The 21,074-nt window shown below is 43.1% G+C and overlaps 1 protein-coding gene and 1 long non-coding RNA gene across 24 annotated transcripts in view; one reads left to right on the top strand and one right to left on the bottom strand.

Moving 5' to 3' along the window:
* Positions 1-21,074, top strand: part of GIT2 (GIT ArfGAP 2) — a 70,361-nt gene that overhangs the window by 17,362 nt on the left and 31,925 nt on the right. For 13 of the 23 annotated variants that reach the window (XM_047429924.1, XM_047429926.1, XM_006719712.5 and 10 more), the window contains exons 7-9: positions 1,757-1,851; positions 15,300-15,345; positions 17,226-17,277. In XM_047429924.1, the coding sequence (XP_047285880.1) occupies positions 1,757-1,851; positions 15,300-15,345; positions 17,226-17,277 (193 nt within the window). Of the gene's footprint in view, positions 1-1,756; positions 1,852-15,299; positions 15,346-15,483; positions 15,490-17,225; positions 17,278-21,074 lie in introns of all 23 variants that reach the window. The other 10 variants (XM_047429925.1, NM_001330153.2, XM_017020258.3 and 7 more) reach the window with 2 other exon arrangements.
* On the bottom strand, positions 277-9,366 carry LOC124903013 (uncharacterized). Its single transcript, XR_007063456.1, has 3 exons — positions 8,716-9,366; positions 1,624-1,898; positions 277-732 (listed from the first exon to the last, which is right to left on the bottom strand). It is a non-coding gene; the product is annotated as an uncharacterized LOC124903013 (long non-coding RNA).

Genomic DNA, 21,074 nt, shown 5'->3' with positions numbered 1-21,074 from the left:
CTGGGCATGGTGGCAGGCACCTGTAATCCCGCTACCCGGGAGGCTGAGGCAGGAGAATCACTTAAACCTGGGAGGCAGAGGTTGCTGTGAGCCGAGACCATGCCACTGCACTCCAATCTGGGTAACAGGGCAAGACTCTGTCTCAAAAAAAAAAAAAAAAAAAAGTGCTCACTGTAAAATTATTTAAATTTTTCTTTATTAATAAAGTCCTTGAAAAATAAATCTATAGGTTAGTCTTGAATATCATTTAAATGGCCAAAGATCAGTCATCTTTCCTTCTTTTTCCAAAGTACTTTTATTAACTGTGAAGCACAATACTCTGTTCCACAGAGGATAAAATGGGTGAATAACAAAACTCTGCCTTCCCAGAATTTACTCTCTTGGAAAAGATGATTCATAAATGCCTGAAAGAGTTCAAGGAGGCAAGACCATATGGGATTCATTGCCAAAATAGATAATTGGTCTTAAAAAGCATATATAGGGTTTCTTCATTGTGGTCCAAATCATTTAAGAAATTTCTTCAGCTGGTCTTGAAGAATGGGTTGGATTTGAATGTGTGAAGGGAGAGCTGAAGCATTCCAGGTAAGAGGAAAGGCAGGAGTCAAGATCAGGAGGCAGGGAGGGACAAAGTGTGTTCAGCACAGCAGGAGACCTGACTGGAAAGAACAGAGTGGGTCTGGGAATAACAGCAGGAGTACAGTATTGCATGGTGCTTCATTATTTCACAGAGCACTAAAAAAGAAAAGAGTTCAGCCAATTAAATTATGGTGTATCATCAATTGTAGGACATTTCCTGATTTCACAGATACTAAAAAATGAAAATAAGATGTGCCTCTCACAAATCAAAGCTGTGTGGTAGGTTGAAGGGTGTTGTGAGTGCCTTGAATGGTGGGGAGAGAAGCTGGCTGAAACTATCAGGTTGGTGCAAAAGTAATTGCAGTTTTTGCCATTACTTTTAAGGACAAAAACCACAAAATATACTTGATCTTGGACGAGAGCCCTGGGTAAATGATACTTATTATCACTTACCTTGGAATTTTCGCACTTGTACCTTGCATATAATAATCTCAATATAATTTGTATCCTTGTTGCTGAAAGGATTCTAAGCAGCCTAAGTATTTATTTCATGGATGTTGAAAGGTAAACTTAATATTTTCTGTTGTGCAAATTGAAGATAAGGAGGCAGAAGTAGCTGCAGGCGTGAGCTGTGCGTTAGGTTGGCGTGTCTCTCACTGATTTGAAGCCTTTGAAGTGGTTACTAGACTCTTATCCAGAGTCAGACTGGCTGCATCAGCATCACCTAGGGGAAGGACCTTCTTCAACATATTGGCCCCTGGCCCCATCCTGTCCCCATTGATTCAGAATTTCCAAGGGTGGGGCCTGCACATGGTATATTTCTAGAAATGCGCTAGTTAATTTTTGAGAACTTCTACCGTAAACCATTGATTAATTTCATTTTTTTACCTCATTAAATTAAGTCATTCTGTATCCTTCCCTCTCATAAGTCTTTGAATTTCTTATTAAATATTCTATTTTGGCCTTAATAAAGGAAAGGCGATAGTTCAGATGGTGAAAACAGTTTATAAAAGTGGGATGCAAAGTAGACTTCAGAAATCTACCTACCACAAGAAGGTTGATGATTCTCAAAAGTCTTGTGTGATAAACTGCTCAGGTGTCTCAGGAGACGTCTTTGTACTCCATTTTAAAGTCAGTGAATAGTGAGCAATATAAATGGTACTTTGTTTTCTCTTGGTAGGCAAGGAGGGCACCATGAGCTGGCAGAGCGCCTCGTGGAAATACAGTATGAGCTAACGGACAGACTAGCCTTCTATCTCTGTGGCAGGAAACCAGGTGAGTGGATGGAGAATGACCGTTTCACATCTCCAGTTGGGAAGGTTCTAGAAAAACAAGTTGGGACACTATTTGTTATTACCTCCTCTGCTGTAACATATCACTGAGAAAGCTATACATATGGCTTTTAATTTGAAAGGATAACTACAGAATTGTCAGTTACATGTAAAAGATATAAAGTTGGACAAAACTCCTTAGATTTTTCATTTTTAATAGCTCTAGAGAAATGACTATTTCAAGAATCAGACTGAATAATCAAAGCAAAATTGAATGGGTACCACAGTTCTTGAACATGGTGGGACTAGGAATGTAGGAGCAAAGCAATAACCTTTGTAGTTATTTGAAAAATTCTTCTTAAGGAATGGAAAAAAAGTCCAGAAGTAAACTTTGCCAAAGCCAACTTGGCTATTTGTGATAGGGAACAGGGGTCAGCAAACCATGGTTTGTAGCCCAAATCTAGCCAGTTACTTGTTTTATTAAACAAAGTTTTGTATCGTGCCACTGCACTTCAGCCTAGGTGACAGAGTCAGACTCTGTCTCAAAATAAATAAATAAAAATAAATAAATAAATAAATAAAGCTTCTGCCGGGTGCAACGGGTCATGTCTGTAATCCTAGCACTTTGGGAGGCCGAGGCAGAAAGACTGCTTGCACCTAGGAATTCGAAAGTAGCCTGGGCAAGAGGGGTGAGACTCCGTCTCCACAAAAAAGTTTTTTAAAAAATCAGCCAGGCATGGTGGTGTGCGCCTGTAGTCCCACGTACTTGGGAGACTGGGACTTGAGCCCAGGAATTCAGGGTGGCAGTGAGCTATGATTGTGCCACTGCACTCCAGCCTGGGTGCAGTGACAAAGCAAGACCCCCAACTCTCTAAAAAATAAATGAATAAAGTTTTATTGCAAGAAAGCCGCGCCCAATTATTTATACCTTGTGTATGGCTGCTTTCACATAACAACAGCAGAGTTGAATAGGTTAAGTCGTTGCAACAGGCCAGATGGCCACAAAGCCTAAAATATTTACTATTTGGCCCTTTAAAGAAAATATTGGCCAACCCCTGATGTACAACATTCACATACATGTATGCAGTGATTCTCCATCCTGGTTGTATGATAGAGTTAAGAGCCTCTGGTATAGTTTCAGTTCTGGGTGAGATGGAGTAAGCACACCCCACCGTGTCTCCTGCAAAATAGAACTAACAGACCTGGACCAAATGCTTGGAGTAGCTAGCTAAAGACTCTGAAAAGTAAATCCTGGTTGGTAGATTAGGGAACTCAAAAGTGTCATCAGCTGGTGGTGAGTGTCCTGTTTGTCTTACTTCTGATAGGACTTCAATGACAGCCTGAAACCTGGAGGTACATAATGAGTGCAAAAAAGCCTTTTTCTGCGGGGTGCGGTGGCTCACGCCTGTAATCCCAGCACTTTGGGAGGCTGAGGTGGGCGGATCATGAGGTCAGGAGATCCAGATCATCCTGGCCAACATGGTGAAACCCTGTCTCTACTAAAAATACAAAAAAATTAGCTGGGCATGGTGGCAGGCGCCTATAGTCCCAGCTACTCGGGAGGCTGAGGCAGAATTGCTTGAACCCAGGAGGCAGAGGTTGCAGTGAGCCAAGATTGCGCCACTGCACTCCAGCCTGGGTGACAGAATGAGACTCCATCTCAAAAAAAAAAAAAAAAAAAAAGCCTTTTTCTGGTTAAAGAGCAGGAAATGGGACTTCTACAGGACAGAGAGGAAGGGGATTCCCCTGGGGTTTTTTCCTCCTCCTCCTTCCTTTTTCTGATCTCTCCCATCCAGCCCCTAGGCAAGCCTGTGGCTGCAATAGCAGCAGCAGCAGTGGCAGCACAGGTTCCTAAATCTCTGAGCAAGGGGATGAGGGGGGATCCTGATTGCTTGTCTTTTTCTCTCTATTCTCTCACCATCTGCCCAGGAGGCAGAACCTCACCTGGTCAGTTGCCTGCTAAGACAAAAATATGAACATTTTTGCATAAAGTTTAAAGAAGGCCCAGAGTCTCATAACAAAACATTCACAGTGTCTAGGATATCATCCATAATGACTTGACATCTGAGTAATTCTCATGTACTTGCCAGGGAAGGCAGCCAACAGATGCCAACCCCAAGATGACACAAATGTTGGCGTTATCAGACAAAGATTTTAAAGCAGCTAGTAAGACCATGCTATAAGAAGTAAAAGCAAACATTCTTGAAACAAACAGGAATATAGAAAGTCCCATCAGAGAAATAGAAGATACAGAAGAGAACCAAATAGGAATATTAGAACTGAAAAATACAAACACTAAAAATTTAAAACTTACTGGATGGGCTTAATAGAAGAATAGAGATGACAAAGAAAGTCAATGAATTGAAAACAGATCACTAGAAATTATCTGGTTTAAGCAACAGAGAGGAAAAAAGAGTAGGAAGAAAAGACTGAACAGAGTCTCAGGGACCTGTGGGAAAATACTAAAATGTCTGACATTTATGTCGTTGGATTCCCAATAAGAGATGAGAAAGAGTGGTGTGTGCAGAAAACGTATTTGAAGAAATATTGGCCAAAAAAACCCTCTAAATTTGGGACAGGCTCAATGGCTCACACCTGTAATCCCAGCACTTTGGGAGGCTGAGGCGGGCAGATCATTTGAGGTTGGGAGTTTGAGACCAGCCTGGCCAACATGGTGAAACCCCATCTCTACTAAAGATACAAAAAGTAGCCGGGCATGTTGGTGCGCACCTGTAATCCCAGCTACTCAGGTAGCTGAGGCACAAGAATCACTTGAACCTGGGAGGTAGAGGTTGCAGTGAGTCCAGATTGAGCCACTGCACTCCAACCTGGGCAACAGAGCGAAACTCCGTCTCAAAAAAAAAAAAAAAAAAAAAAAACCTCTAAATTTGGTGAAAGACATAAACTTACAGATTCAAGAAACTTAGAAAATTCCAAAGAAGATAAACTCAAATCCACAGTTGAGACACATCAAAATCAAACTGTTGAAAACTAAAGTTGAAGAAAACATCTTGAAAGCAGCCAGGAAAAAGTGACACATAACATATATAGAAAAACAGTGATTTGAATGATTGTGGATTTCTTATCAGAAACCATAGAGATGAGAAGGAAATGAAATAATACTTTGTTTGTTTGAGATGGAGTATCTCTCTGTTGCCCAGGCTGGAGTGCAGTGGTGCAATCTTGGCTCACTGAAACCTCCGCCTCCCAGGTTCAAGCGATTCTCTTGCCTCAGCCTCCTGAGTAGCTGGGATTACACGTGCCTGCCACCATGCCCGGCTAATTTTTGCATATTTAGTAGAGATGGGGTTTCACCATGTTGGCCAGGTTGGTCTCGAACTCCCGACCTCGTGATCCGCCCACCTCGGCTTCCCAAAGGGCTGGGACTGCAGGCATGAGCCACCTCACCCAGCCAGAATAATACTTTTATTATTATTATTATTTTGAGACAGGGTCTCACTCCATCGCCTAGGCTGGAGTGCAGTGGCGTGATCTCGACTCACTGAAACCTCAACCTCTTGAGCTCAAGTGATCCTCCCACCTCAGCATCCACAGTAGCTGGGACTACAGGTGTGTGCCACTGTGCCCAGATAACTTTTGTATTTTTTGTAGAGATGGGGTTTCACCATGTTGCCCAGGCTGGTCTTGAATTCCTGAGCTCAAGTAATCCACCCACCTGGGCCTCCCGATTACAGGCATGAGCCACTGCTCCTTTTTTATTATTATTATTTTTTCTCATCTTCTTTGTGATGGTAGAAACAATACTTTTAAAGTGCTAAAAGAAAAGAGCTGTGAACCCAGAACTCTATATCCAATGAAAATAACTTTGGAATGAAGGCAAAATAAGGACATTCTAACAGGAAAAAAAAGAATTATTCTTTACTTTAACAGAAATGCTAGAGAAAGTTCTTTGGGTGGAAGGGAAATGATGCCAGAGGGAATCTTGGAACTTTAGGAATGAAAGAAAAACAACAGAAATGTTAAAGATGTGGCAGAGTAAGACCCTGTCTCAAGAAACAAACAAAAAGTTGAAATTGTCATACATATCTTAAAGCTGTAACATTGTCAGCCAGGTGCAGTAGCTCAAGCCTGTAATCCCAGCACTTTGGCAGGCCGAGGCAGGCGGATCACCTGACATCAGGAGTTTGAGACCAGCCTGACCAACATGGTGAAACCCTGTCTCTACTAAAACTACAAAAATTAACCGGGCATGGTGGTACATGCCTGTAAACCCAGCTACTCAGGAGGCTGAGGCAGGAGAACCACTTGAACCTAGGAGGCAAAGGTTACAGTGAGCCGAGATCGTGCCACTGCACTCCTGCCTGGGCGACAGGGAGACTCCATCTCAAAAAAAAAAAAAAAGAAAAGAAAACGCCAGGCGCGGTGGCTCACGCCCGTAATCCCAGCACTTTGGGAGGCCGAGGTGGGCAGATCACGAGGTCAGGAGATCAAAACCATCCTGGCTAACACGATGAAACCCCGTCTCTACTACAAATACAAAAAATTAGCCGGGCGTGGTGGTGGGCGCCTGTAGTCCCAGCTACTCGGGAGGCTGAGGCAGGAGGATGGCGTGAACCCGGGAGGCGGAGCTTGTAGTGAGCTGAGATTGCACCACTGCACTCCAACCTGGGCGACAGAGTGAGACTCCGTCTCAAAAAAAAAAAAAAAAAAATTATCTAGTAGGGTTTTCAGCATATATCAGTGTAATATATTTGACAACTATAATATAAAAGGGGATAGGGTAAAAAATATAATGGTAAGATTTCTACCTTCTACTGGAAATGTAAAATAGGATTTCTAAGTAGACTGTGAAAAGTTGTGTGTGTGTGTGTTTGTGTGTGTGTGTGTGTATAGTAATTTCTACCATAACCACTGAAAGAAGACTACAAGCCAGGCACGGTGTAGTGCCTGTAATCCCAGCACTTTGGGAGGCTGAGGTGGGCAGATCATGAGGTCAAGAGATTGAGACCATCCTGGCCAACATGGTGAAACCCTGTCTCTTCTAAAAATACAAAAATTAGCTAGGCATGGTGGTACGTGCCTGTAGTCCTAGCTACTTGGGAGGGTGAGGCAGGAGAATTGCTTGAACCCGGGAGGCAGAGGTTGCAGTGAGCCGAGATCATGCCACTGCACTCCAGCCTGGGTGATAGAGTGAGACTCCATCTAAAAAAAAAAAAAAAAAAAGACTACAAAGATATGTGATCAAAAATGCTAGAGGTAAATGAAAATGGAGTATTAAAAATTACTCAAATCATCAAAAGATATTTTGATTCAAAATATTCAAAAGAGGAGGGGGAGAACAAAAAACTAAGGACCAAATAGAAAATAAATAATAACATTATAGACTTAAGTCCGTACATATCAATAGTTACATTAAATGTTAATGACCCAAACACATCAATGAAAAGCAGAGATTCTCAGAATGGATTAAAAAACAAAAGGGGCTGGGAGCTATGGCTCACACCTGTAATCCCAACACTTCAGGGAGCCTGAAGCAATTCTCCTAATCGCTTAAGCATAGGAGTTTGAGACCAGCCCAAGCAACAGAGCAAGATCCTTTCACTACAAAAAATTTTATAGAAAGCAGCCAGGCATGGTGGTGCATGCCCATAGTCTCAGCTACTCAGGAGGGGCTGAGGTGGGAGGATCACTTGAGCTCAGGAGGTCAAGTCTGCAGTGAGTGCTGATCATGCCACTGCTCTCCAGCCTGGGCAACAGAGCAAGACCCTGCCTCAAGAAATAAACAAAAAACCATAAGGCCTAATATATACTGTCTACAAGAAACCCATTTTAAATATAACAATATAGGTAATAAGTTAAAAACCAAAAGTATAAAAAGATATACCATGTAAAGGCTCAGGAAAAGAAAGCTAGGGTGGCTATATTAATATCAGACAAAGTAGACTTCAGAGGAGGGAATATTAGCACGGATAGAGAGGGACATAATATTATCATAAATGAGTCAATTCATCAAGAAGGCATAATAGTTCTAAATGTGTACACATCCAGCAACAGACCTTCAAAATACATGAAGCAAACTTTGATAGAACTAAAAGGAGAGAAGGTCAAATCTACAATTATTGTTGGAGACTCTACACTCATCTTTTAGTAATAGATAGAACTAGTAGATAGAAAATCAGTAAGGATATAGAACTAAACCAGACCAAAACCCAACTAGATCTAGTTGATGTTTATAGACTCTTCTACCTGACAACATTAGAATACACATTCTTTTCAAGTACATATTGAACATACACCCAGATAGACCATATCCTGGGTCATAAGACAAACCTTAGCTAATCTAAAAGAATTAAAATTCTATAAAGTATATTTTCAGACCATAATAGTATTAAGCTACAGATAGGTAATACAAATAAAACTGGAGAATACCCAAGTGCTTGGAAGTTGAACAACATGCTGCTTTTTTTTGGAAACAGAGCCTCGCGCTGTTGCCCAGGCTGGAGTGCAGTGGCGCAATCTTGGCTCGCTGCAACCTCTGCCTCCTGGGTTCAAGCAATTCTCCTGTCTCAGCCTCCCTAGTACTGGGATTACAGGCACGTGCTACCACACCCAGCTAATTTTTGTATTTTTAGTAGAGATGGGGTTTCACCATGTTGACCAGGCTGGTCTCCAACTCCTGGCCTCAGGTGATCCACCCACCTTAGCCTCCCACAGTGCTGAGATTACAGGTGTGAGCCACCGTGCCCGGCCCTGAACAACACACTTCTAACTAATCCATCGATCTAAGAGGAAGTCTTAAGGGAAAAAATATTTTCCACTGAATGAAAATGAAAATGCAGCATATCAGAATTTCTGGGATGCAGCCAAAGCAATGCTTAGAGGAAACTTTATAGTATTAAATTCTTACCTTAGAAAAGAAGAAAGGTCTCAAATCATTCTCATCATTATTTTTTGAGATGGTGTCTTGCTCTGTCACCCAGGCTGGAGTGCAGTGATGTGATCTTGGCTCACTGCAACCTCCCCCTCCCAGGTTCAAGTGATTCTCCTGCCTCAGCCTCCTGAGGAACTGGGATTATAGGCATGCAGCACCATGCCTGGCACATTTTTGTATTTTTAGTAGAGATGGAGTTTTACCATGTTGGCCAGGCTGGTCTCTAACTCCCCACCTCAAATGATCTGCCTGCCTCAGCCTCCCAAAGTGCTGGGATTACAGGCGTGAGACACCGCGCCTAGCCTCAAATTATTAATATAAGCTCCTCCCTTAAGAAACTTTAAAAAAAAAAAGAGCAAAATAAACCTGAACCAAACAGAAGGCAGCAAATAGTAAAGAGCAGAAATCAATGAAACTGAAAGAAGGAAACAGTAGCGAAAAATCAATGAAACTGAAAGAAGGAAACAGTAGCGAAAAATCAATGAAACCAAAGCTGGTTTTTCAGAAGGATTAGTAAAACTCATAAATGTCTGGCAATACTGACAAAAAGGAGAGTGTACAGATGGAGTTGTCACTATAAACCCCACAGACATGGAAGGATAATTAAAAAAAAATACAAAGCAGACCGGGCGCGATGGCTCATGCCTGTAATCCCAGCACTTTGGGAGGCTGAGGCAGATAGATCATTTGAGGTGGGGAGTTAGAGACCAGCCTGGCCAACATGGTGAAACTCCGTCTCTACTAAAAATACAAAAATTAGCTGGGCATGATGGTGGGCGCCTGTTATCCCAGCTACTTGGGAGGCTGAGGCAGGAAAATCGCTTAAACCTGGGAGGCAGAGGTTGCAGTGAGCTGAGATTGTGCAACTGCACTCCAGCCTGGGTGACAGAGTCAGACTCCATCTCTAATAATAACAATAATAATAATAGTAATACAGACCAGGCATAGTGGCTCACAGTGGTAATCACAACACTTTGAAAGGCCGAAGTAGGAGGATTGTTTGAGGCCAAGAGTTTGCGACCAGCCTGGGCAACATAGCAAGACCCCATCTACAAAACTGCAACAACAAAAAAATCAGCCTAGCCTGATGGCACGTGCCTGTAGTCCCAGTTACTCTGGAGGCTGAGGTGAGAGGATTGCTTGAGCCCAGGAGGTCAAGGCTACAGTGAGCTGTGTTCGCACCACTGTACTCTAGTCTGGGTGACAGAGTGAGACCCTGTCTCAAAAAAAAATAGAGAAAAATGCAACATAACCAAGTGGGATTTCCAGATAGGCAAGACTGATTTAATATTTGAAAATCAGGCCAGGTGCAGTGGCTCACGCCTGTAATCCCAACACTTTGGGAGGCCAAGGTGGGTGGATCACCTGAGGTCGGGAGTTTGAGACCAGCCTGGCCAACATGGTGAAACCCCGTCTCTACTAAAAATACAAAATTAACTGGGCATGGTGGTGCATGCATGTAGCTACTTGGGAGGCTGAGGCAGGAGAATCACTTAGAACCCGGGAAGCAGAGGTTGCAGTGAGCTGAGATTGCGCCATTGCTCACCTGCCTGGGCGACAGAGCGAGACTGTGTCTCAAAAAAAAAAAAAAATCAGTTAATGTAATCTATCAAGTTAACAGTAAAAACGAAAAACTATGTAATCATATCAGTTGATGCAGAAGAAGCATTCAACAAACTTCAACATCCATTCATGTTTTAAAAAAACTCTTAGCAAACTAGGAATAGATGAGACTTCCTTGATCTGATAAACAGTATCTATTTAATGATGAAAGACTGTGTTTGCTTTCAAATTGGGAGAAAGACTAGGGTGTCCACTCTTACCATTTCTCTTCTACATCACACTGGAAATCCTAACCAGTGCCAAGAGGCAAGAAAAATAAATAAAAGGCATACAGATTGAAAAGGAAGAAATCAAACTGTCCCCATTCAAATGAGATGATTTCTATGTAGAAAATCACAAGGAACCTACAAAAAGGTTTCCAGAACCTTGAGTTAAACAAGATTGCAAGAATACAAGGTCAACAGCCAAAAATCCATATATATATATATATTTTTTTTTCCCTTTTTTTTGAGATAGTCTTGCTCTGTCACCCAGGCTGGAGTGCAGTGGTGTGATCTCGGCTCACTGCAACCTCCGCCTCCCGGGTTCAAGCAATTCTCCTGCCTCAGCCTCCCATGTAGCTGAGATTACAGGTGCCCCCCACCATGCCTGGCTAATTTTTTGTATTTTCAGTAGAGACAGGGTTTCGCCATGTTGGCCAGGCTGCTCTGGAACTCCTGACCTCAGGTGATCCACCCACCTTGGCCTCCCAAAGTGCTGGGATTACAGGTGTGAGCCACCGCACCCTGCCAAAAATCCATCACATTTCTTTAGACTAGCAGTGAGCAATTGGAAACTGAATCTAGAAAAGCAATACCAGTAATAAAAGCTCCAAATTGGCTGGGCACAGTGGCTCACACCTATAATCCCAGCACTTTGGGAGGCAGAAGGGGGTGGGTCACCTGAGGTCGAGTTCGATACCAGCCTGGTTAACATGGGGAAGCCCTGTCTCTACTAAAAATACAAAAATTAGCTGGGCATGGTGGTGGGCGCCTGTAGTCCCAGCTATTCGGGAGGCTGAGTTAGGAGAATCGCTTGAACCTGTGAGGTAGAGGTTGCAGTGAGCCTGAGATCTTGCCACTGCACTCCAGCCTGAGCGACAGAGTGGGACTCTGTCTCAAAAAAATTAAAAAGCTCCAAATTAAATACTTAGGTATAAATCTAATGAAATACACAATACATGTAGTATCTATATGCCAAAAACTGCTGATGAAAGAAATCAATGAAGACCTGAATAAGTGGAGAGATGTACTGTGCTTATGGATATGAAGACTCAATAACATGTCAATTCTCCACAAGTTAATAAATGTATAAATTTACTTCAATTGAGGATTTTTTATTAGACATAGACATGCTGATTTTAAAATTCAAATGGAGGCCAGGTATAGTGGCTTACGCCTGTAATCCCAGCACTTTGGGAGGCCACGGCGGGAGGACTACTTGAGCCCAGGAGTTTGAGACTATCCTGGGCAGCATGGTGAGACCTCATCTCTACAAATAATAAATTAGCCATGTGTGATGGTGCATGCCTGTGGTCTCACCTACTCAGGAGGCTGATGTGGGAAGATCACCTGAGCCCAGGAGGTTGAGGCTGCAGTGAGCCATGATCGTGCCACTGCACTCTAGCCTTGGCAACAGAGTGAGACCTCATTTCCAAAAATAATAATAATAATTTAAAAATTCAAATGGAAGGGTGAAGGAACTAGAGTAGCCCAGACAATTTTGCAGAAGAATAATGTGGAAGGAAGTACAGCACCCAATTTTTCAGAATTGCTATGAAGCTGTACAGTTCTCAAGACTGTGATATCTATGAAGAGATAGACATATAGACCATTGAAACAGTATAGAGAATCCAGAGATAGATCCACACAAATATGTTCAATTGATTTTTGTCAAAAGTGCAAAGGTAATCAGTTCAGTGGTGGAGGAAGGATAGTTTTTTGTTGTTGTTGTTGTTTTCTGTTTTTTTAAGACGGAGTCTTGCTCTGTCACCCAGGCTGGAGTGCAGTGGTGGGATCTTGGCTCACTGCAACCTCGGCCTCCCGGGTTCAAGTGATTCTTCTGCCTCAGCCTCCCGAGCAGCTGGGACTACAGGCGCACTCTACCACACCCAGGTAATTTTTTGTATTTTTAGTAGAGATGGGGTTTCACCGTGTTAGTCAGGATGGTGTTGGTCGCCTGACCTCGTGAACTGCCCGCATCGGCCTCCCAAAGTGCTGGGATTACAGGCATGAGCCACTGCACCCGCCCCAGGATATTCTTTTTAATGCATTGGGACAACCGGACATCCATGTGCAGGAAAGTGAACTTCAACCTAAACCTCACACCTTACCCCGAAACTAGAAAGGATCATAGATCTAAATGTAAAACCTGACACTGTAAAACTTCTAGAAGAAAATGTAAGAGGTCCGGGCACGGTGGCTCATGCCTGTAATGCCAGCACTCTGGGAGGTCAAGGCGGGTGGATCACCTGAGGTCAGGAGTTTGAGGCTAGCCTGGCCAACATAGTGAAACCCCGTCTCTACTAAAAATACAAAAATTAGCCAGGCATGGTGGTGAATGCCTGTAGTCCCAGCTACTCAGGAGGCTAAGGCAGGAGAATCGCTTGAATCCAGGAAGCGGAGGTTATAGCGAACCGAGATCACACCACTGCACTCCAGCCTGGGCGACAGAGTGAGACCGCGTCTCAAAAAAAAAAAGAAAACATAAGAGAAAATCTTTGTGATCTTGGATGAAAGCTTTTAGCTATCAGCTGAGTATGGTGGCTCACGCCTGTAATCCTAGTACTTTGGGAGGCCGAAGTAGGAGGATCACTTGAGCCCAGGAAGTCGAGGCTGCAGTGAGCTATGACTATGCCACTGTACTCCAGCCTGGGTGACAGAGCAAGACATTGCCTCTGCAAGGGGGAAAAAGAAACCTCTTAAATATAACACCAAAACTCAATGCATAAAAGAAAATATTGATAAATTATACTTCATCAAAATTGAAAATTTTTGGCCAGGTGCAGTGGCTCACACCTGTAATCCCAGCACTTTGGGAGGCCAAGGCAGGTGGATCACCAGAGGTCTGAAGTTCAAGACCAACCTGACTAACATGGTGAAACTGCATCTCTACTAAATACAAAAAGTTAGCCAGGCATGGTGGTGCATGCCTGTAATCCCAGCTACTTGGGAGGCTGAGGCAGGAGAATTGCTTGAACCCGGGAGGCAGAGGTTGCAATGAGCCAATATTGCACCATTGCACTCTAGCCTGGGCAACAAGAACAAAACTCCATCTCAAAAAAAAAAAAAAAAAAAAAAGGAAAAGTTTTGTTCTGAGAAAACTAGTTAAGAAAGTGAAAAGACCAGCAACAGACTGGGAGAAAAATACAGGTATTTGGAAATCACATATCCAGCAAATTACTCATATTTAGAATATTCAAAGAATTTTAAAAACTCAGGCCGAGCACGGTGGCTCACGCCTGTAATCTCAGCACGTTGGGAGGCTTAGGCAGGTGGATTACCTGAGCCCAGGAGTTTGAGACCAGCCTAGGCAATGTGGCGAAACCCTGTTTCTACTAAAAATATAAAAAAATTAGCCGGGTGTAGCAGTGCACGCCTGTAGTCCTGGCTACTCAGGTGGCTGAGGCATGAGAATCGCTTGAACCCAGGAGGTGGAGGTTGCCAGTGAGCCGAGATCCACGCCACTGCACTCCAGCCATGGGGGGCAGAGTGAGACCCTGACTCAAAATAAATAAATAAGCTGGGCACAGTGGCTCACACCTGTAATCCCAGCACTTTGGGAGGCCGACGCAGGCAGATCACCTGAGGTCAGGAGTTCAAGACCAGCCTGACCAACGTGGAGAAACCCCATCTTTACTGAAAAAACAAAATTAGTTGGGCGTGGTGGCGCATGCCTGTAATCCCAGCTACTCAGGAAGCTGAGGCAGAAGAATCGCTTGAACCCAGGAGGCGGAGGTTGCGGTGAGCCGAGATTGCGCCATTGCACTCCAGCCTGGGCAACAAGAGTGAAACTCTGTCTCAAATAAATAAATAAGTTAATTAATTAAAATTAAAACTCAACAGTAAGAAAACAACCCAATAAAAACTGGGCAAAGACAAGATATGGGATGGCAAAAAAAAAAATCACATGAAGACAAGCGTGGCATGATTAGTCATTAGCACAATGAGATGCCACAGCATACCTATTAGAATGATTAAACTTTTAAAAACAAAAACTGAAAGTACAGGTGCTGGGAAAGACAGGAAGCAACTGTAACTCTCACATTGCTGTTTGGAAAACAAAGTGATAGCGCTACTCAAGGGAAAAGGTCTGGCAGTTTCTTACCAAGTTAAACATACATTTACCATATAACCCAGCATTTCTACTCCTGGGTCTTTACCCAGAAGAAAGATAGACTTATGTTAAAGAAAAACCTACATAGGAGTGCTGATAGTGGCGTTATTCATTGGCACATGGATCAGTGTTCTCCAGGAGCTAGATTAGGGCTGAGTCAGTAAGCTTCCTTGCAGATGGAGTCCCTGTCTGGATCTGCAAAGGCCACCTGTCCCAGCCCTAGCTGTTTTATACTAATAGATTCATTTGAGCAAGACCTAGAGCTCATCCACTGTCCCACACCGTGGGCTGATGGACACCTGCTGTGAGCTGATTCAGCTCCCTCAGCACACTTTCCATGGCCAAAGATCGTCAGTTACACTGAGGGCAAACTAATCGTCGTGATTGGGGTGAGCATAGGTTTCTGCTAAATGATGCCTGGACCTTTGTACCAGAAAAAAACAAGGCTATGAGCCTTACTACTAGCTGGGTCTTCAGGAATTTTTAGCTAGTCTAGCAACATGACTCGTCATTATGCACAAATACTAATCGCAAAACTTAGTTTGAGGAAATAATGGTGATGTTCCTTTACAGATCTTATCAACATTTCTATGAACAAAACTTTGACTTGGTTTCTGTTTCAGATCACAAAAATGGACAGCACTTTATAATACCTCAAATGGCAGACAGGTAAGCTCATTGAAATACCAGTTAGTTTTGTCTATCGCTAATATTTCCTTGGTTGTATTATGTTTAAGTATATTATATTTTGTGTTTAACAAAGCCCATACATTTTTCTCTTTTATGGCTATACCATTTGGAAATAAGACGGCTGTAAGTAAACCACTATATAAAACTTAAGTTTCAAAGAGCACAAGTAGCAATTTTACTAATAGGAAAATTGAAACCAGTGATATTGTCACTGTTTTAGCCAGTTGTGACAGTATTTTGTATTTATTTATTTACAGAATACTTCTGTATTATAGGAGATTACATTATCTATGACAGGGGTTGGCAGACTTTTCTTCTCAAGGGCCAATTAATAAATATTTTAGACTTTGTGGGTAATATGGCCGCTTTCGCAACAGCTTAACTCTACTGTTGTAGATGAAAGCATCTGTGGACACTCTATAAATGAATGGGTGTGTCTATTCCAGTGAAATTTTATTTCTGGACACTGAAATTTGAATTTCAAATAGTTTTCACGTTATGAAATATTGTTTTTTCTTTTTGCCCCCAAACATTTTAAAACGTAAAAACCATTCCTAGCTCAACTGAACAAAAAGAAGGCCATAATTTTTCTGACCCCTGGTCTATAAGAGCAGATGAGTTCATTGCTACAGGAATGATCCTTAAACCCTTGTTTTGCAAGTTACCTTTGCACGGAAACTGTCAAGAGTTTATGAAATGACTAACTGCTATTCCAGATATAATCTTGCCATCCTGATCTTTTACATCTTCCCTTTTTGTTTTGTTTTGTTTTGTTTTTTTTTGCTTTGGTAGAGACAGGGTCTTGCTCTGTTACCCAGGCTGGTTGCAAACTCCGGGACTCAAGCAATCCACCTGCCCTGGCCTCCCTATGAGCAACTATATCTGGCCTTGTATTTTCTTTTCTTTCTTTTTTTTTTTTTTTTTTTTTGAGACAGAGTCTTGCTCTGTCGCCCAGACTGGAGTGCAATGGTGCAGTCTAGGCTTAGGGCAACCTCCACCTCCCAGGTTCAAGCAATTCTCCTGTCTCCGCCTCCCGAGTTGCTGGGACTATGGGTGTGTGCCACCACACCAGGCTAATTTTTTGTAATTTTAGTAGAGATGGGGTTTCACCATGTTGGCCAGGCTGGTCTCAAACCCCTGACCTCGCCAGGGCAGTGGCTCACACCTGTAATCCCAGCACTTTGAGAGGCCGAGGCGGGTGGATCACGAGGTCAGGAGTTCGAGACCAGCCTGGCCAAGATGGTGAAACCCTGTCTCTACTAAAAATACAAAAATTAGCCAGGCACAGTGGCGTGTGCCTGTAATCCCAGCTACTCTGGAGGCTGAGGCAGGAGAATTGCTTAAACCCTGGTGGCAGAGATTGCAGTGAGCTGAGATTGCGCCACTGCACTCCAGCCTGGGTGACAGAGTGAGACTCCATCTCAAAAAAAAAAAAAAAAAAACAACCCTGACCTTGTGATCCTCCCACCTCGGCCTCCCAACGTGCTGGGATTATAGGCGGGAGCCATCGAGCCCGACATATTTTCTTATATCATGCTTTTTTTTTAATACTTCAAAAATTGTGACTCCTCACATAAGGGCCTGGAAGGTAACCTGGCAATAGCTTTTGTCGTTTAGTTGGTGGACGATTTTTTTTTCCTCTTTAACACTTACATGATTGTGGTATTTCAGAAGGAGTTACTTTCACCAGATTGTTCTGTTTAGAGCTCCTCACTGACTCTACTGGGCTGTAGAATGCTTGGTTCTAACATGGTCCATGAACTGTAATTAATATTTTTATCTCTTGGGTGTCTTAAACTTTACAGAGTTCACAAGTCTGGCTTTATTTATTTGCTTATTAGCTTTGTATGTTTTCTTAGCAGCCTGGATTTGTCTGAATTGGCAAAAGCTGCTAAGAAGAAACTTCAATCTGTGAGTATTTCTCTGTACTGGTTTTCTCTAGTATGAGAATCAGTGCACCCTGCTGATACCTACTCTGAATGCAGGTTACCTATTGCGTCTGATGACTTTATTTCATACTTTTATTTGTTAAACTAGAAGCAGACTGTTGAGTATACAGCAGTGATGACCACAAGGACTATTAAGTTCAGTATATTCAGTTCATTGGTTCTGCTTCAGATAATCTCATTTTTCTCTATCATGTAACAAGTGCAGATGGCACCTTTGGCATTAGGCAGTTGTTCTCCTCAGGAGAGTTCCCTAGTTCCTCTCAGTGTCATGAGTAAGTAGGGCACGCGTTCTTGGGGTGACTTAGCCATGTAGGGTTCTAGAGCTGGTAAATGCTGATGCTGAAATGGTGGCGAGTCCCATAGATTCACTGGCTGCCATTTGGATCCAGCCATATTGTAAACCTCTTTCCCATCCCATGCCATTCATCAGTGCTTTTTAAATTTCTGCTGTTAAAAGCTGGTGGTCTTGGCCCATGTGCGTGCTCAGAGTTTGCCGGCTCTGTGCCACAACCTCCCTTTAGCCTGTGTCTTTCTTCCAGACTGCCCACCTCAGCCTTAGGAAAGGCCTAAGGGCCCAAGGCCTCAAGGCCCTGGGAAATCTACTTCTCTGGGATTGACTTCTCTTTGTCTAGTTCTCTCACATGAAGCCTCACCGGGGCACTTCTCTCCACTTTAACCACCAAAGTATACTCCTCAGCTGTTCCCATTGCTCTTTGGATCAGAACCAAGATTCTTAACTTCTTTTTGTAACCTGTAAGGGCATCATTCAGCTCTCACCTTTCAGAGATTGCCCTGCTTCCCATCTGGTTCCGTGTGTGTGTGTGTGTGTGTGTGTGTGTGTGTGTGTGTGTGTGTGTGTGTGTGTGTCTTTAGATTAACACCCTCTGAGGCCATGAGCTGCACATTCAAGTCCTCTTCCAGGAATCCTGCTTTGCCTACAGCGTTTGCCTTTCCCAGCTTCCATCTCTCTGATTCAAGGACCTGAAATCTGACCAGTGTAGGTAGCGGCTTTCCCAAAGCCTGACTCTGACATTGCAGCTTCCCTCATTTATGACTTTCTCCTCATTTCTGTTTTCACAGAAGACCCTTTACTAAAACTTCATATAATACTCAGTATTAAATATTACATTAAATGAATTTATCCTTACTAGTATTTAACTGTATTATGAAATAAATGTGTTTTATGCAATTTGTTTGGTGTCTCTGTGTTCTGTATCTACAGTTTTGTGTGTCTGTGTGTTTTATTGCCTTAAGGAAGTTGTAAACTAAGATGATCAAGATGATAAGCTTTGGAGTCAGATAGCACTAAATATTGTGTGATTTCCTTTTAATTACTCACAATCTGTAAGTAAATTTTATTATAAATAATTCAAACCTAGATAAAAACCCACGTTTTCTTAGACTATCCTACATTTGCTTCACTGGAAGCTGCATGAAAGCTGAGATTATGCTTGTAATATCTCTAGCACGTGGCAGGCATGAAGTAAAGACCTGGAACAGAGTCTAGTATAGCTCTCCAGAGCTGCAGCTCTGAGTCAGACTGGTCAGTACATATCTCAGCCCTGCCAAGCTTCCTAGCCTCCCTGTGCCTTGGCATCCTCTCATAGAAGAGGGAGATAAGGATCCTGCAGGGGCTGCCGGCCAGAACTGCTCAGAGTGGGCTGCCCCATTACTTGTTGACCCTCACCCTGTGGTCTCCTTCTCATAGGTGACCATCTTATCAGCGCCAGGTCAGTGTTTATCCTCCAGTATCTTCCTCCTGTCCTCCCTCTCTTCCTCCCTTCATCCTTTCTTTCCTTTCTCTTTTCCTTCCCTCCCTCCTGATGAAGAACTGAGAGAAATATAACAAAGGCTAATGTATTCCTTGAATGAGTAAATGTTAGCATTTTCAAAGATGTAAACTTGGATCTCAGGTCTGTCACTAGCTTTGTGACTTTAGGCAAGCTACTATCTTCTCTGCCTCAGTTTTCTTGTCTTAAAAATGGGACAATAGTAGTTCCTGTTTTCATAGAGGTGTTATAAGTGAAATATGATACTGTTAGCACAGTGCCTGGGATATAAGCCCATAATCAGCGTTGGCCATTGTAGTTGTTGCTAGTAATAATAACATTAGCTTGTAGTCCCATGGAGGAAGAAACTAGATATTTATGAAGCAAAGTCAAGCTCCCAATCCTTCAACATCTTGTCTAGCAACAGGCTCTCTGGGTTTGTTTTTAATTATAGTGCGACCACATTTGGGAAGATTTGGAAAATAGAGAAAGGGGACCATCCTCATTGCTATACTCTTAATGGAGTCAGGCTCAATATTTTGGTACATTTCTTTCAGTTCTTGTTTTATATGCATATCTTTTTTTAAAACTGGAACTTAATCATAATTGTAGACGTTTATAACCTGCTTTTTTCACTCAGTAATATATGGTACCCATTTTAACATGTTCCTATGAGGTCTCTGTAACCAGCACTTGTTTTTTCTTTTTTTTTCGAGACAAGGTCTCACTCCGTCACCCAGGCTGGCGTGCAGTGGTGCCATCGTGGCTCACTGCAGCCTTGAACTCCCAGGCTCAAGTGAGTGATCTTCCTGCCTCTGCCTCCCAAAGTGTTGGGATTATAGGCATGAGCCACCACACCCAGCCTGTAGCCAGCATTTTAAATTGCTGCATTAAATCCCTTCTGGCCAGCCAGTGCCTCTTTTCTGGCCACTTTTAAAGTGTGAGGTACCATGTGTGGATGTAAGGAACCCAATAGGGAATATAACAGATTCAGCATCTGCCCTCCCAAAGCAGATGTCAGACAGTTTAAGAGTCACAACTACCACGTGTCAAGGTGTTGCATGAGGCAGAAAGTGCAGAGAGAGGCGGAGCCACCCCAGAAGAGGCTTAACCTCATCTGGGCCAGGAAGACCTCAATTATCCTCCATGTGCCCAGGGAGGCACTGCAGGCTGTGAGGTGGTTGTTGTGTGCTGAAGAGTCAGGCTGTGCTTTGGTAGGAAGCTTCCTTCTGGAGACTGAAGCAGTAGGACTGCTACTGAGAAAGAGAGCAAAGAAACTCAGCTGAGGTCTGAGTCACGTTTTTGTGCAAGGGCACATTTTATCCTCTCAAAACAGCATGTCTTTTGCTTTTCTTTTTTCTTTTTTGAGATAGGGTCTCACTCTGTCACCCAGCCTGGAGTGCAGTGGTGTGATCTTGGCTCACTGCAGCCTTGATATCCTGGGCTGAAGTGATCCTCCTGCCTCAGCCTCCTGAGTAGTTGGCACTACAAGTGTGCACCACCACGCCCAGCTAGTTTTTGTATTTTCTGTAGAGGCAGGGTTTCACCATGTTGCCCAGGCTGGTCTCGAACTCCTGGGCTTAAGCAATCCACCTGCCTCAGTCTCCCAAAGTGCTGGGATTATAGGTGTGCACCACTGAGCCTGGCTGTTTTTGCAAGGTTATAGGTTCCCTTATACTTTGGGGAACTGATAAGCACTTTTAAGTGCAGAAAAGGAGGCTTACAGGATGATATCACAAGAAGAGTAGAGAACTGGAACCTACTTCTGAGATGATGCACTTTAGATGCCTCTTAGCTCCTTAATAGCAGCAGCTCTGTCTGTGTCATAAAGTAGTGAAATTGCTGTGGTTGGCAGACATTTCTAGAGGCCCTGTACGATTTTGAAAATGTTATGTCTGTTTAACAGTGGGTATGTACCAAGCACTGGCATTGGATAAGACGTAGGCAATAAAAGGGTGACTAAGTCGCAGTTCCCTCTTGTCCTCCTGGC

Source organism: Homo sapiens, chromosome 12 (genome assembly GCF_000001405.40).
Source record: "Homo sapiens chromosome 12, GRCh38.p14 Primary Assembly".
Classification (NCBI taxonomy): Eukaryota; Metazoa; Chordata; class Mammalia; order Primates; family Hominidae; genus Homo; species Homo sapiens.
This window is presented reverse-complemented; position numbering and strand designations above follow the sequence as displayed.